Genomic DNA, 16,777 nt, shown 5'->3' on the forward strand with positions numbered 1-16,777 from the left:
GGGGTGATGCTCACAGGAACCACAAGCCAATAGGAAGCCCCCAGGCAGCAGATGGGAGGGAGCAAGACCCTCTTCCTCCTCCAGCCTTAGGGTCTCCCTCTAGCACACGCTGTTGGCAGAGCCTACCAGGGAGCTAGGGGCAAATCAAAAATGTAAGTGGTTTGTAGGGTCCCAGGTCTAGTGGAGAATAAGTATAAAAGGGTGGGTTTGGAACCGAGAGCTGGTTTTACAAATGGAGAAACGGAGGCACTTTCCCAAGGTCTCTCATACTGGGTGGCAGGGATGGAATTTGAACCCAGGTAGTTTGGCTGCAGAGCCCTTGTTTAACCCCACCTCAGGCTGTTGGCTGAGAGGCCATTCTCTCTGGCTCACCTTCCTCCCTGTGACTGTTCTTGGCCTCCGTTAGCAGTCGCTTCTCTTTCCCTGCTCCTCAGGCAGATGCCCGTAGGACTTCATTCCCTGCATCTTCTCCCTCCACCTCTACCCCTAGCATCACCTTTAGGTGAGTGGGTCCATGTCTGTACCTCCACCCTTGGCTCCTTCGGGGGAAATGCCAAGCTTGGAAGGCCAGTGATTTCCTGGACGTTTCACCTGGAATGTTCTGTAGATTCCTCAAATATTTCTTCCCCCTCGGAACTCAGTACTGTCAGCCTCAACAGCTTCCTTTCTTCTGATTATTTCAGATTCTAAATCTGTTTTTCATTAGACTGGCTTAGTAGTTACCACAGCCTTCTTTGTACACTTCTCTACCCAGTTTATCCAGTAAACTGTGATTAGAGAAGTGTGCCTTAAAAACAACTGTGTTCATGTCATTCCTCTTCTTCCCTGTGGCCTCTGAAGAAAGCTGAGGCTTCTCAGAAAGCAGTTGTCTTCATTGCTGAGTGCTTGGACCCTCTGTGGAGCATGCCCTGTGTCCTTTCCCTAGGTAGTTCCAGCTTCTCCAGCCCTGCTGGGCTACTCATGGCCTTGGCTTCCGTCCTCTCTCAGACCACCCATGGTTGTTTTTGTCACTCTCATGTCAGCAATGCCACCATTTCCACCCCATCAGAACTCTTACCTGTGCTCGAAGACCCAATTCCACTGCCACCTGCTCCATGAGGCCTTCCCTGCTTCTCTCTCGGGGAAACATGGTCTCACCTTTCTGTAAACTCCCCTGGGTTTTATCTGTGTCACTCCTGCACAGGCAAGGCCCTCTGCCCACTGGAGGCTGAGTCTTTGTCTGAGCAGATTCATATCTTTTCTGTTTCTGAATTTCCCAGGGTGCCTCGTGTAGAGCCCTTAGTGCCGGCTCACTGCAGAGCTGAGTGTTTCCAGTTCAAATGGGTGTTCCCAGAGTGGGTTTTGTTTCCCATTTAAGAACAGCCTTCCTGTCATCCAGCCTCAAACAGGTTGGCCTGGACTATTCTAGTCTTAGGAAAGGTGGCCCAGGTGTGAAGCCACAGGCCACACTGTTGCTTTTAGCACAAGTTTCACAGCGAGGAACAGGGACTCTGCCCTCAGTTTTCTCTGTTGGGTTACTTTCATGTCTACTCAATTGAGAGTTTTAAATCCTTTTATTTCTAAAGATCGCCTGGTTAACGTATGAAGCTTTCTTGGGTCCATGTTGGCCTGTTGTTTAATGTTTCTCATTTGCCTGCGTATCTGGAAAAAAACAGACTCATTTGCACAGATAGAAACAAAAGATTGTGCAGATGGGAGCCACGCATGGAAGGGAAGGAATACTGATCTCCCTAATGCATCTTCCTTGCGAAACATGGAGCTGCTCAGGAAAGAAAGGGCCCGTGATTCAACAGTTGGGGAAATGTGGGTTCAACGGGCTCCCTTCCTGCAGACCTTCACGGAGCCTTTGATATGTAGTGATGAGCTTCCTGAATCTTGATCTGCATGCTGAGTTCCTCAGATGAGGTTAATTTGACCACAGGAGTGTGGTTCCATGGAACTAGTATTCCTTGGAATGTGCTTTGAGAAAAGTTGCCATAAAGACTATGAGTGTCAAAGGGATGAAGGAAGCAGGAGTTCAGGCTGAGGATGAGCCAGTGACCCCCTGCTCTGGCCGTGGAGGGGAGGGCATCACTAGGTGAAGCAAGCCCTCAGGAACAAATCTGCACCTGTGTTCTGAGCCCACTCCACTCTTGCAGGCCAAGACTGCCCACACCACACCAATGCAATAGACCCAGCTTCTCTGCCTCTCCAGGGAAAGCCGTTAGGGTACTGCAGGGAGGGGGTCGGTTTCGCCAACCAGGCTCATTCCCTCAGTCACCTCCCAAGGATACAGTGTCAGAATAACAGCTTCTGAAATGAGTTTTCTCCACTCATGCAAATTGCTCTCTGACTTTGAACACCCACGTGAGTAGAAGCAGTGTTTTGGCTGCCTGGTTGGTGGAGGAGGAACATCACAGGGTTATTTTTTCCCCTAGCAAATGCAGACAATACCCTCCCTCTAATCAACAGGTTCATAAGCGTTTGTCTGAGAACCAGAAATGAATTTACAAGGGGCTCTCTCCTAGCCTTGTGGAATTAGAGCAGAGATATTGCTTTCTTTTCACTTCAGTTAATCCAAATGAGCTGAGTCTCCTTTCTATAGGGAAGGGCAAAACAAAACAAAAACCTAACCCAGCAAAAACAAGGCTTTCTTACTGCCAAACTGGGGCTCCGAAAATAGTTTGGGTCATTGGAATCATGAAAGAAATAGTGTTTATATAACCTCTCTCTTGCAGAGAACTTGAAAGTGATTTCCTTTCGTTTTATGCAAATAATATATGGGATTTATATTACCCACTTTGTCAAACTCATCTTCCTTGTATGTGTTTGGAAAGCTTATTCACTGGTGGTCAGGCTTCTTGTTTTTCTTCTGGGTAGACTGCCTTTTAGACAATAAATTCTGAAGTCTTTGTTAATTCCGAGCTGGGAGGATACAAATGGCGGTCCATCCTGAGTGTGGGAAGGAGAATCAGTTTGAAAGAGCTCTTTTATCTGCACTCCTTAGACTTTTTAGTGTTGTTTCGGTTATTTTAGTGTATTGCCAGACTCACGGAGAACTTCGTTTGTCCAAAGCTCCACGAAGGCTGCAAAGATAAACCAAGCTGTCCATGTCCTTACTGGCAGGGATCACAGAGTCTAGTGGGTGAGAGAGTGACAGATACCATAATACAAGGCAAGTAAGTACTGGGTGCATGCAAAGTGCTTTGGGATTGTAAAAGAGAAAGAGAAAAAACCCAGCCAAGTAGGGAGGGGAAAAGCTGCCATCTGAGCTTCACTTGCAGGCTAGGTTACATTTCAGCAGGCAGAGGCAGGCAATATGGCCCTGAGCAAGGGAAGTACAGAAGTGGGAAGTGCAGGGGACTTCAGATCACGGGGTGAGGGAGGAGGCTCACTGAGAGAGAAGACCAGTACTGTGCTCTGTGGGGCCAGCTCATGAGACCGCAAAGATAGTAGCAGCTTTGATGCCAGGCTGGGAATTCTGCCTGCGCTGTTGGGAGCCAGTCACGTGTTCCACACAGGTGAGTGGCCTGTTCAGATTCTGTCCCTGTGTGCTCCATCCTAGTGGTACCTGGGAGTTGTCATCTCCGTGCCTCTCTTTTTTCTGTCCCCACATCTCCAGTTATCAGTCTTTCTATTGCACCCAAAAAAACTGCTTGCCTCTCTCCCTAGTTGTATGTGGTCCCTGTGTCCTCATCACTCATCCATCAAGTGACAAAACTCTTCTCTTAACCTTCAGCCTTGGCCTCCTCTGGTCTACCCTTTCCATGCTGCCAGAGGGATGGTTTTAAGCTGCACTGGCCATGTTCTTCCCCTGCTCAATACCTGGCAGCAGCCCTGTCATCTCCCCAGGAAAGCCTGAGCTCCTTGGTGAGGCTGATGAGGTCCTCCCAGGTGCAGGTGCACTCTCCATGCCTCTGCCTTCTCACGCACTCAGCTTTAACCACACCAAACTGGATGCACTTCCTCTCTCTTGTCTCTTTAAAGGGACTGTGTCTTCTGCTTGGAACTTTCCCTTTGTGAACTCCCATAGCCATCCCTCAGCCAACAGACATCTGCACGCATGCCAGCTCCCTCCCTCCCCTACCCGGTCTATTGGGTTGCGTCTCCCTCCCTCTATTCTCATAGTACTTGGTGCCCCCTCTGTGCACACAGCCCGGTGCTTTATGGTTACTTTTTGCCTGCCTGTCCATCATGTCACTAGATGGTGAGTTCCTCCCAGTGCCTAGCTCTGTGCCAGGCCAATGATAGGACCCCAGGAAATGTGTGTGGGAGAGATTAGAAGGAGAGAGCTGGAAGGAGGAAGACCCATTTGGAGCCCAGGGCAGCAGCCAAGCCACCTTCATTTGTCCCGACGATCATGCTGGTCCCAGAGTTGGCCTCATTCCTCCAGAGGGTGGTACTAAGATTACTGGAGAAAACAACCAGGGGGAAGCTCACTGGTATATAACAACATCAGCTCCCTTCTCCTCGTCCCAGGAGGAAATGATATTTCCATACATCCTAAACATCCGCCTCCTTGCAGCATCTGCGGAAGCTTGCTTGAATAATGAAAGATAATCAGCAATAGTTGAAATTTCCTATCCTTGGGCAGGTCTTTTTTTCCTACTATATTATGTATTTAAATACATAGACATATTTAACCCCACCTACCTTTTGGGCCAAGTGTTTATGGACTAGACTTGTTCTTCCCCTTAGTTTTGGAGGTCCAGTGGTGAGTACCTCTCACTTTTCAGAGCCAGAAGTGCTGCTTAAAAATGTGTTCAGATCCTGGCCGGGCGCAGTGGCTCACGCCTGTAATCCCAGCACTTTGGGAGGCCAAGGTGGGCGTATCACCTGCCGTCAGGAGTTTGAGACCAGCCTGGCTAATATGGTGAAACCCCATTTCTACAAAAAATACAAAAAATTATCTGGGTATGGTGGTGTGTGCCTGTAATCCCAGCTACTTGGGAGGCTGAGGCAGGAGAATCGCTTGAACCCAGGAGGCAGAGGTTGCAGCGAGCCGAGATCGCGCCATTGCACTCCAGCTTGGGCAACAAGAGTGAAACTCCGTCTAAAAAAAAAAAAAATGTGTTCAGATCCTGCAAAGTGACAGCACATTAGAGCTGGCGGTGTGCAGACACGATAAGAGGGAAGATCAGATGTGCTGGCAGAGAGCTCCAAAGTGCCCTTCCCATGAGTGTCTCTCGGTTGGAGAGGGAACACACTGCCAGGAGCCAGGCAGTGTCCCGAGGCCTTCACTCTCAGTCCGTGCCCAGAGATGCAGCCCCCTTATGCTAATTTATGTGTCATCAGAGTCATTAAGGGTCATGAAGAGCCTTGGGTTCTGGTCGCAGCTCTGTTGCCAACTGGCTGAGTAGACTTCCGCAAGCCACGTGCTTTCTGGGGCCCAGGCAGCCCTCATCTGCCAAAGAAGGGAGTCGGATGAAATCTCCAAGAGTCTCTCCTGCTTCCCACTTCCATGAGTTTATGAAAGATGCAGGGATGTGGTGTTGGCATTGGGGTCTGATGGAGCTTCTCAAGGGAGAACATGCCCCTAAAGAGGCATGTAGCAGCTGGGGAGGGATGGAAGGGGAGTGAGGGCTGGAGACTTTGGGGGTCCAGGAGCAGGTGCTCCCAGCTGCTTGTGGCAAGAGAGGAAGGGAGGGAGACACTGAAGAGAAGAGCAGGTCTGCAGGCAAGGAAGAAGCAGCCAAATGGCCCTGGGGTTCTGACCATGAGCTTTGGAATTCCAGAGTGGCCAGGGAGGCTCCTGGCACGGCCAGTCCCTCAGTGGACAGAGGCCGGCGGGGCCAGCTGGTACAGCCCAGCAGCTTTCCCAGAACCTCTGTGGGTTGCGTGCCTGGGAGGACTCAGCCAGCACTGGCTCCTCTTCTGTCCTCAGAACCATCTCCACCTTAACTCCTCCCTGGCACATGCAGCTCTTTCTCAATTATTTATCAGTAGCAGCATCCATATTAGCCCACTGTGTGCTGGGCACAGTGCCGGACACTGGTGACTGAGACACTGGTGACCCAACCTTTGCTAAGAAACAGGACTTGGGGAGAAAGAAGAAAAGCAACAAAGTGGGTTATCTCTAAGTCCAAGTATCTCTTGGTGTTGTAGCTCCTGTGGGCACTGCAAACTCATGTTTTTATTATTTGAAGGAAGAGGAATTAGGGTGAGCAGGAGGGTGACGAGAGGGTGATTGGAAAGTCCAGATGTTGGGCTCTATGAACAACTTATGTCTGCTTTAAATTCTCATAGGAGACTGAAAACCAAGAATATACCTAATGGTAACAGGCAGTAGACCAAAGATCATGGACTGTGGCTCTCTCCCAGGGCAAGCTCTTTAGTCTCCCTGATCCTGAATTTCCTCATCTATAAAATGGGGATCATCAAGCCTATCTGGAAGGGTTGCACTAGAGATGCAGGTGAAATCGTGGATGTATGATGCCTGCCACTCAGTAGATGCTAGTTCTTCTTTCTCTTGCTGATTTAGCAACAGGCTTCCTTTTAGGCCCCACAGAGATCTCTCCTTTGTTCTCTTAAGTCTAATATGTTTAGATCTATTGCTGACACCTGATGAAATTTGCCAAGTGTCTTGAAGTGGCTACAGTGCCAAAAGGCTTGTTCTTGGCAGGTACCATATTTCAGTTTCTCAGATCTCCTCTGGCAAGAGTTCTGCAGACATTCTCTAATCGGAGTTTGGGGGCTACTTAAATGATTAGTCCCACTGAAGGTAGACCTCTGCTTTGAAAACAGCCCTCTGTTGTCCAGGAAGGGCTTGTGCATGCCTTTATAAGAGGTCATGTAAAGCATGGTTGGGACAGAAGTTGTATTGGGTTCACTTGTGTGTCCTGGCTCCTAAAGCAAAGGGATTATCCTTGCCAAAGGAGAAATATTTGGAATAAAATACCATGGCTCATGTTTCAAGATATCACAGGCCGAGAAGCGACCATGATCTTGGTGAGATGCCCTGATGTTTTTTTCTGTGGGGCACATCATAAAAGAACTTTGGTTAAACATTTTGGCCTGCTCCTCATTTCCCAGCTCCAATCTTCCAGATTTTCTGAGTAGCTGACATGCCTTCTAGGGGAAATTTTGCATTCTTCACTTCCTCTACCTCTCTTTCTTCCCCTCTGTTTTTTTCTTTTCTAGCCAGGGGCAGCAGCTTAGTACTTGGAACCTGCCACTTAGAATGGCTCAGACTCCTTGGAGCCAAGGGGCACGCTGGCGGTTTCTGCCAAGCACCTGGCCAGGGTTCCGGGGTGGGGAGGACGGATGGGAGGTGTCACACTGCCCCTCGTGGGCCATTGCCTCACAGCTTGCAGGTGTCCTGGCGCTGGGATAAAAGGGCTTATCCTTGAGACCTCAGGAGCGTTTCTGCCAAGCGCTCGCATTGGTCAGTTTATTCGGATTCTCCTGTAGAGGGGAGTTACCTGCTTCTTCCTATTTCTGTTTTCTGTTACAAGACCTGGCTAGAGGCCTCTCTGAGAGCGCAGTCAGGCACAAAGCCCGGCAGAGGCATTGGAGAAGACAGGTCATGGAGTGAATGAGCGAAGGAACTCTGAGATTCTAGGGTGTTAACTCTTAGAATACCCAGATCCTACATAGCTGCAATTCAGCAGAACATTGACCCTGGCAGCCAGAGTACTTTTCAGACTAGCTGAGGTGCTGGAAAGCAGCCCAGGAGGACACTTGGGGCAGAGGCAGCCAGCCTGGGGTTCAACATTTGTGGCTGATAATAGAGACCTCGGATAAATGGAATATAGACATGTTACATCTCCTGATGCAGAGCTCCTGCAGCCAGAGGGTCTTGGCCTTTGGGGGACCTCTTTGGGAGGGCCTGGGGTCAGATGGGGGTGGACTTGGGCCTGAGTCCATCAGAGAAAATGTGGGGAGTTGGGGTAGAGACCAATGGCTGCCAATGCTCACTTCCAATTCAGGAATCATTGCGCCTTCCTGCAGGAGGATGGCCAACGCCTAATGATGATGATGATTTTTTCAAAGCCTTCACGACTGCTCTAATGATAGGCATATGAAGCCACAGTTTTCCTCCTTCCTGCTGTTCATTCAACCTTTCTAGCCTGGCAGCTTTGCCTCAGTTTTCCTCCCTGGATGATGAATCCACAAGTCTGGCCAGAAGGAAGATGAGCATTACTCTGAAAGTCATTTTGTACTTTTAAAACTTATTTTCTTTCTCTGAGTTCTGTATTAGTGTTGTAATTTGCTCCTGATACCACCTAAATCAGTTGCGATTAAAGCTTTTCTATCTTTCTTTTTTTGTTTAAAAGAAAAAAACAGATTTGCTGCCTGGAGTTCACGTATTAACAAAGATGAAAAAGATAGTGTCTGATTTATAATGTACTGAATTGCCTAAGTCTTTCATTTGTAATTCTTGACAGTGTTCCTCTAGTAAAGCGAGGCATCGTTCTGTTGTCAGGGGCTCAGTAATCGCCATGAAAAACGGGGGAAGGATTTGTGAGACATTCTATATGAGTACCGAAGGTGATGGACAAGTAAAAATCAGGACGGCATAAATTACTCAGTATCTTTCTTCTCCACAATTATTTTCACTGTGGCATTACTATATTGGTATGTCCTCCGGGTCCCTTTAAGGTCAAGAAATCAGGAGATAAAAACCTTGTAGCATTTGACCAGATCAATACTGAGGGTTCTCAAATAGATATCTAAGTCTTTGGCAGCTGATGCTGGATGGGCAAGGGAAAAACATAGTTTTTGATAGGTATTGAAGAAGCTTCAGCAGCCGCTGAGTACATGGGGCCTCTTTCCCATGCGTCTGATGTGCTGTGTGCCAGTCTGGGGAGGGGTGAGGGAACTCCATTTGGGTTCTCAGTTTTGTTTTGTTTTTTTTTGAGACAGAGTTTTGCTCTTGTTGCCCAGGCTGTAGTGCAATGGCACGATCTCAACCTCTGCCTCCCGGGTTCAAGCAATTCTCCTGCCTCAGCCTCCCAAACTGGGATTACAAGCACCTACCACCACACCCAGTTAATTTTTGTATTTTTAGTAGAGACGGTGTTTTACCATGTTGGCTAGACTGGTCTCAAACTCCTGACCTCAGGTGATCCACCTGGCTTTGCCTCCCAAAGTGTTGGGATTACAGGCGTGAGCCACCATGTCCAGCCTGGGTTCTCAGTCTTTTGTGGAATATCTTTGTTCTTCCTCCATTTTCCATCAGTTTTCCACTCTGGGGAGATGAGAATTCGTTAAAACAGAGTGAGCCAGCGTAGGATGGGGTAGGGAAATGAAGCCCACTGTAAACTCTGTGGGTGCTGAGAAACCTCAGGCTCCTAGGTAAAAGGAGGAAATCCAAGGTGGCTGTCCAGACACTGCCCAACTGTGCCACCAGAATTCTGAGCTCCGGCCAGCAGGCTCTAAAGGACAGGTGGGCACCTTGGAGACGTGAGGAGCAATCATCTTTGCTTCATATTCTACCTGTGGTTGCCTTTCAGCAGTTTTGGGAATGGGAGCTTTGGGGCATTTTATGTCCTTTGCATTGTCCGAAGAAAGGTAAAAGGAGCGATTGCTGTTACACTGGGGATTTCTGATCTGTCTCTGATAAAATCTGGTTGCATAGTTGATCTTCAGCAAAAGAGGAAGCGATGAATGAAATTGCTGTCCTCACTTGCCACCTCCCCTTCCTTTTATTCTTTGGTTTTTAAGTGTGGTGAAAATATCAATAAAGAGGCTGGCCATTTTGGTCCCAGTCAATGAACACTTGCCATGGGGTAGTCCTTGCCCAGTGGAGATCCAGCCCATATGGGCACCGTTGCATTGCCTGTGGGTCATAATGTTTTAAGGATATTCTGTTCAGTTGCCCTCTGGGTCCCTCCAACTAGATGAAGGCATTCTAGATTGCAGGGGAGGCGGGAAACAGTCTTGAGCTGCGGGATGATCTTGTCTCCTAGTCACGAGAAGGAGTATTGGAGATCCCATCATCTCATCTGCCTGTGGTCATTATTACTAAAACCTTCTTCAGCTGCCCAAACCACAGTAGGAGGTAGCCTTGCTCTTCCTCCCCTTGGAGCCATTTTCATGTGGGCATGAAAGTGATTGACAGGCTGTGAAGTACCTCTCCCACCATCACCCAACACTGTGAGGTAGGCGGAGCAGGGAAAGTTTTAATTACCATTATACAGATGAAAAAACTGGCCCTCTGCAGAAGTTAAGTGGTTTGCATGAGCCTGGGAGCTGGCACTGCAAGACAAGTCTACCTGCTACGGACAGAGTGCTCTTGTACCCTCGGGGTTCTGCCTCTGGTCACTCTCTACATAGCAGAAGCTCCACTGGCACTTTTGTATTCACAACTACCGGGTGCGATAAGGCAGTGAGGGTTATTATGATACCCCTTTTCACAGGTAAGGAAACAAGGCTCAGAGAGGTTCAACAACAGAGTCATAATTCTTCTTGTTGGAGAATTCATTTTGTTACATTTCATTCCCACCATCTGCAGTAAGGGAGACCCATTAAAATATAGTATCCTGATTTTTAAAGAGAAGGTAACATTAAGGCCAGGAGGTTTGGGATTTGCCCAAGTTCACTGTGGGCTTCTGGACTCCCATGCCCAACAGCCTCCATGATGCAGAAGCGTCCCGCAAGAGCCTAGTGTTTTGATTCTTTTTTGGTGCCAGGAGACAGACTGTGGACCTGGAGTGGGTTTGGGGGCTGGAGAAGTAGAGGAGGTGGAGTTTCTAGAAGAGGGGTATATTGTGGGGGTAATAAGACCAATAACTACATAAGGACCTGCGTTTGGTCTTAGCAGTGAAAATTGCATCTTTAGCCTTATAGAGAATGTTGTTTTCCTCCATAAAATAACCTGCTTTGAGCACCGCTGTTGTGCTGGGCACCATTCCAGTTGCTTTTGCATCTGCTCTTTAATTTAATCCTCTCAGCAATGCTATGAAGTAGGTACCTGCCTCTTTTTTCCTCAGTTGAGGAACTGAGGCTCAGTGAGTTGAAGAAACTTGTCCCGGACCACACACCTGGTCTATGGCCATGGCACGTGGTCATTCAGCAAACGCTGAACACATGCTGTGTGTCAGGTACCATGCTGGACACCAGGGATAAATCAGTGAACAGAACAGAAACGAATCCCGGTCATGACAGAACTCAACTCAAGCGGAGGGAGGTATAGGATAAACAGCAAAAATATACCAAAAAAGAAAATTACATTGCACAATTAGAAAACGGTAGGAGCCACTTAAAAAAAACAACAGTGGAACACAGGGTAAAGGAGATTAGGAAGTACCTGGAGTGGGTTGCAATTTTACATCAGCTGACCAGGCTGGGCTGCAGGGAGAGGGCTTGGAGGAGGTGAGGGAGTGAGCCCTACAAGATGTCTGAACTGACGCTCTCTCTTCAGAAAGAAAGGGAGGCCCAGCAAGTGGGAATGACTTGGCCAAGGTTACCCACTGAGTTAATGTCCAAACCGGGTCAAGAACCTGGGGATCCTCACAGCTGCCTTTGAAAGCTTCATATGGGCCGGGCACGGTGGCTCACGCCCATAATCCCAGCACTTTGGGAGGCCGAGGCAGGCGGATCACCTGAAGTCAGGAGTTCCAGACCAGCCTGACCAACATAGTGAAACCCCGTCTCTACTAAAAATACAAAAATCAGCCGGGCATGGTGGTGCACGCCTGTAATCCCAGCTACTCAGGAGGCTGAGGCAGGAGAATCACTTGAACCCAGGAGGCGGAGGTTGCAGTGAGCCAAGATTGCGCCACCACACTCCAGCCTGGGTGACAGAGCGAGACTCTGTCTCAAAAAAAAAAAAAAAAAAAAGAAAGCTTTACTTGGCTTCTCTATATCCCCTGAACATCTCTGACCTGGCTCTCTTGATATCAGTCTCCATGTCCAATTCTCCATGTCTGCCTTCCAGCCTCTTCCACAGCCTTCAACCTTTGTGGCATTGATTCCTGGTGGTCCCATCCTAGCCCCCAAACCTTCTCTGTCCTCAAAAGTCCCATCTCTCTTCTCTCTTCAGATAAACGTACATCTCTTCACCCCAGCATCCCAGCGCCCTGAGTGAGGAATTAATGCTTTTATATTTGAAGAGATCGGCTGCTGTCATTTTTGATATCTTCTGTTTTTGTATGTGGGAACGCAGAGCACAATTAGAATACAGTTATATATCCTCATAGTTATTGAAGCTTGGATTAACATGACATAAAGTTTTGTCTAGGGAGTCTTTTGCTATGGCTCAGGGAGCATTTTTTGTGACAGTAATAGGCTACAGTTAATATACTTGAATGATACTAGAATCTGTGTTATAAGGCAGAACAAAAGGGGTTTATCTGAAGCTGAATTACAAAGGTGGAATTATCACTGCGAATGATCCACAGAGATCTGGGGCTTAATTATTGTCGCTTGTGTCATTTCGGCATAATATGGGTAGTTACTGGAGCAGAGTAGAAGTGCGGGAGGGCCAGCCTGTCAATCACCCGGTGGATGCCAGGATTCCCACCCCTTACACTTAGCGCCACGCCAGCCGTGTGCCCTACAGAGCCACAGGAATGGATCCCTTTGGCCATCTGTGGCTATGTGGTACTTTCAGTTTTCTTAATGTTTTAATGACTCCCCTGTCCTACCTCCAGCCCAATCCCCCTCTCCCCACTTAGGTCCTTTGCCCTCTTGGCCCTGTCGAACCTTCCAGGAGGCTGATGAACGGTCTCATACACTGATGGCATTTTCTCAGCCCGGTGAGGCCGCCACCACCTTCCAGAGCCTAATTGTTTTGACAAGCGAAGGAGGCAAGCTAATGTGCTCTGTCAGCCATTTGGTCACATTTGGTCAAAGCCAGGTGTCTGGCTGCAAATAGGTGCACTCAGGTAAACCACATCCCCGTGTGCTCCGGGAGGACAGAGCACGCAGGAGGCGGGAGTGTTGCGGGCAGCCCTTCCCCATCCCTGGCTCCAGCGCATTCATTCTCCTCCCAGGCTCCAGTCAAGTCTGAGGGTGAAGGGTGGGAACAAGACAGTTCAGCACCTGAACAGGGCAGGGCACCCAAGGGCTTTTAGAAATGCTGTTAGATTTATAGGGACCATCATCCTCTTCTTACTATTTTTATTATCATTTTTCATTATCCACCTGCTAGGTGTACAATTACAACTTGTTTTGTTGGTGGCTAAATTCAGCTGTCCTCCTCACCTTACTGTTAACCAAGAGAGGTATGGCCATTTTAAATGGCCAAAGTGTTTCTATTGGACCCTTTAATTTTTTTATTTGAGATGGAGTTTCGCTCTCGTTGCCCAGGCTGGAGTGCGATGGTGCAATCTCAGCTCACTGCAACCTCTGCCTCCCGAGTTCAAGCGATTCTCCTGCCTCGCCTCCCAAGTAGCTAGGATTAAAGGTGCCTGCTACCATGCCCAGCTAATTTTTGTATTTTTAGTAGAGTCAGGGTTTCACCATGTTGGCCAGGCTAGTCTCGAACCCCTGACGTCTGGTGATCCACCTGCCTTGGCCTCCCAAAGTGCTGGGATTACAGGCATGAGCCACTGCACCCAGCCTATTGGACCCCTTTAAATGTGACTTTTTCTGCCAGACTTGTTTTCTGAGAGGTCATTGCACTGGTGCTTTTTGAAAAGCTACTCTGAGTGACCCCACGTATAAAGCGAGGAAAGGGAACAGGACTTTGGCAGGCAGCTGTGTGTGGCAGGAAGTGAACCAGGAAGGTGCTGGGTGTAGTCTTCTCCCACCCTCCAGCAGTGCTGGGGAGCTGCGCTTGTTTGGGAACAGAGAGGTTCAGGAATGTCGGGTCTTTGTCAAGGTTACATGGCTGGAAAATCAAAAAGACAGCTACGTCTCTCTATGTCTGAAGGCCATGTTTTTCAGCTAGTCCTGTACTTTTTTTAAAGTATGGTCTTCTAAATACCTCATCAGAGATGTCTTTGGGCCCCTTATCCAAAATGAAGATTCCTGGGCGCCACCCCAAGACAACTGAAACATGCTTTCTGAAGGAGCAAGCAGCTTGGGCTGTGCATGTAACAAGTCACCAGGTGTGACTGATGCACACGCAGGTAGTTGGGGGCCGCTGCACTGTCCGGACAAGCTGATGACAGCGTCAGCCCTGGTGTTCCCATAGATGCCTAGGTATTAGTTTGAACACCACATGTCCTCAGATATTCTTCATACCAAGAGAGCTGGTCCTTGGTACATTATACCCTACTGGGCTGGGGTAACAGAAAGTGGGAGCCATGACCTCAAATTAAATTAGAGCCAAAAAGGGAACATGTGGGATTTTCTTCACATCTCCCATTTAATAAATGAGAGAACTGATCCTGCAAGTAAGAGAATTCCATGAAGGACATACATTCACAGCAGATCTGGTCCTAGTAGCTGTTACCCCCGCTACCCTTAAAAAGTAAATATCTATCACCACTTGCCTTCCTATTGCTACGATGATTTAAAAGAAGAGTTGGTTTTAATTAGAATAAACATGGTATTTTTCTTGCTGCAACAAGGCCTTCAAAGGGGAAAAAAATCTCAATACCCCAATTATGCCAAAGCGTTCCCAGTCCTATCCAGGAGTAATTAAAAAATACAGCTGACGCTTGTTCTCTTGCTTGTTTTTAAATGAGTAGCTAAGTATCTGTCAAGATGATGAGCACCTAGGCCGCTGACGGCCTTACCATCTCAATTTGCTCCCAGGAACTGCAGAGATGAGAACACGAAAGCTGTTGTTTTGAACTGTGAGGTACCTGGCTACCCCAGGCACATGCATTTTGTGGTTGGTGGAGATCATCTCTCCGACCCCAGTACCAAAATGTGGGATGGAAGGCCAGGCCTCATGTCCACATTCTTATGCCTGGAACACATCTCTTCTTTCCCTATGGGCAGCTGAAGTGGCTTCTTCCTGTGCCGCGCGGGGAGCTCAGCTTCTCTGCAGTACACAGCATGTTTTGAGGATCGTTGGGTAGAATTAGGTTGGCTTTGTTGGGGGAAATCCCCTAGTTGCAATTCACTTTTTAATTAGTTCATGGAACCTTTCTTTCTTTTTTTTTCTTTTTTTAAATTATACTTTAAGTTCTAGGGTACACGTGCACAATGTGCAGATTTGTTATATATGTATACGTGCACCATGTTGGTGTGCTGCACCCATTAACTCGTCATTTACATTAGGTATATCTCCTAATGCTGTCCCTCCCCCCTCCCCCCACCCCACAACAGGCCCCGGTGTGTGATGTCCCCCTTCCTGTGTCCAAGTGTTCTCATTGTGGAACTTTTATTTCTAAAATATGCCCCCAGGTGAATTGAGAAGTCATTTTGCATATTAACACCATCCATTTGGTGACAATTGGGCTTTTTTTCCTCAAGCTAAGGGCAAGGCCAGACGCGGTGGCTCATGCCTGTAATCCCAGCACTTTGGGAGGCTGAGGCGGATGGATCACCTGAGGTCAGGAGTTCAAGACTAGCCTGGCCAACATGGCACAACCCCCTCTATACTAAAAATACAAAAATTAGCCAGGTGTGGTGGTGCATGCCTGTAATCCCAGCAACTCAGGAGGCTGAGGCAGGAGAATTGCTTGAACCCTGGAGGTGGTGGTTGCAGTGAGCCGAGATTGTGCCACGGCACTCCAGCCTGGGCAACAGAGTAAGATTCTGTCTTAAAAAAAAAAAAAAAAAAGGGCAGCTAAGGGCAATTCTGTATGCATTCTTCTCACCCCACCCACAACACACATGTTTTTCTAAAGACAAAATCAAGGGCAGACTTGAAAAGGAAATAATCATAAAAGTTTCTATAGCATTTGGAGTTCTTAATATTTACCCATCAGTTTACAGCATGTTTTTATATATGTGGTGTTCCGGTTATCTATTGATGCATAACAAATCACCCAAAAACTTGTTGGCTTAAAACAACAGCAATCGTTATATTATTTCTCGTGGTTTCTGTGGAGCGGGAATTTGGGCGGGACTCAACTGAGTGGTTCAGGCTGGGAGCATCTCATGAGGTTGCAGTCAGACATGAGGTTGTAGTTCTAGTGGCTGCCACTGGCACAACAGGGGCTGACGAAGCATCTGTCCAAGGGATCTCAGGACTTCTCCCCATGGTCTCTCTGCATGAGCTGGTTTGAGCTTCTTTATATCATGGCTGCCTCAGGCAGTCAAACTCCTTGTACAGAAGCTTAGGGCTGGAGCACAAATGTTTCCACAGACAAGGCAGAAGCGTGTTCACTTTTTTTTTTTTAACCTAACCTCAAAGGTCAAACAACACAAGTGAGTCTCAAACTCTCAACTGGAATGAAGGGGAGGGGACATAGAGCTCACCTCGGGATTGGAGGCGTATTGAGGTCCTATCGTAGATCGCATGTGGCACGGGGGAGATATTGTGGCCATCTTAGGAGAATACAGTCTGCCACATGTGGTCACTCTCAGACACGCTCAGGACGGGTAGGAGGTCTTATTATCACCATTTTACAAACTGGAAACTCAAAGCCAGAGAGGTAAAGTAGTTTGCCTGCAGTCACTCAGATCTTAAGTGGATATTAGAACTCATATCCTGAGGGATGTGAGAAAAGGGGAAAGAAGGCAGCACCAAGTAGCTTGTCCAGGTGACCTTTGGGGGCAGGTGGGACTTGGTGGCTCTATACCTCAGATCTCTCTTCGCCACCATATGAAATGAGTTGCGTCTTTTTTTTTTTTTTCTCTTTCTCTCTCATATAGACTCTTGGGTGCAGGGAGGGAAGAGCCAGGTGGGGTGGGCTAGCAAGAGGAGGAGCGAGCTCTGGAGGAGGAGGTTGGACAGTTGCCCGCTTGGTAGAGCAGCTAGTTTTTTACAACCACTGTCAGGAGAGGAAGG

General features: G+C 48.1%; 1 protein-coding gene across 12 annotated transcripts in view, besides 3 other annotated features; it reads left to right on the plus strand.

Moving 5' to 3' along the window:
- MSI2 (musashi RNA binding protein 2) overlaps window positions 1–16,777 on the plus strand; it is a 445,731-nt gene that overhangs the window by 227,939 nt on the left and 201,015 nt on the right. For 2 of the 12 annotated variants that reach the window (XM_047435315.1, XM_047435316.1), the window contains exon 1: window positions 3,373–3,500. The exons of the other annotated variants lie outside the window; for them this stretch is intronic. In XM_047435315.1, coding sequence (XP_047291271.1) covers window positions 3,444–3,500 — 57 coding nt within the window. In that variant the 5' untranslated portion in view covers window positions 3,373–3,443. Of the gene's footprint in view, window positions 1–3,372; window positions 3,501–16,777 lie in introns of those variants that run through there. 12 annotated transcript variants of the gene reach the window in all.
- Window positions 1,686–2,582: an enhancer, noted in NCBI's record as "H3K27ac hESC enhancer chr17:55562836-55563732 (GRCh37/hg19 assembly coordinates)". NCBI's record gives its function as "activates a minimal SCP1, AML or CMV promoter by ChIP-STARR-seq in naive H9 embryonic stem cells {active_cell/tissue: H9 hESC(naive)}" and the evidence as "EXISTENCE:reporter gene assay evidence [ECO:0000049][PMID:30033119]".
- Window positions 2,174–2,233: an enhancer, noted in NCBI's record as "active region_12440". NCBI's record gives its function as "activates an Ori minimal core promoter by ATAC-STARR-seq in GM12878 lymphoblastoid cells {active_cell/tissue: GM12878}" and the evidence as "EXISTENCE:reporter gene assay evidence [ECO:0000049][PMID:35858748]".
- Window positions 12,245–12,746: an enhancer, noted in NCBI's record as "H3K4me1 hESC enhancer chr17:55573395-55573896 (GRCh37/hg19 assembly coordinates)". NCBI's record gives its function as "activates a minimal SCP1, AML or CMV promoter by ChIP-STARR-seq in naive H9 embryonic stem cells {active_cell/tissue: H9 hESC(naive)}" and the evidence as "EXISTENCE:reporter gene assay evidence [ECO:0000049][PMID:30033119]".

Source organism: Homo sapiens, chromosome 17 (assembly GCF_000001405.40).
Source record: "Homo sapiens chromosome 17, GRCh38.p14 Primary Assembly".
NCBI lineage: Eukaryota > Metazoa > Chordata > Mammalia > Primates > Hominidae > Homo > Homo sapiens.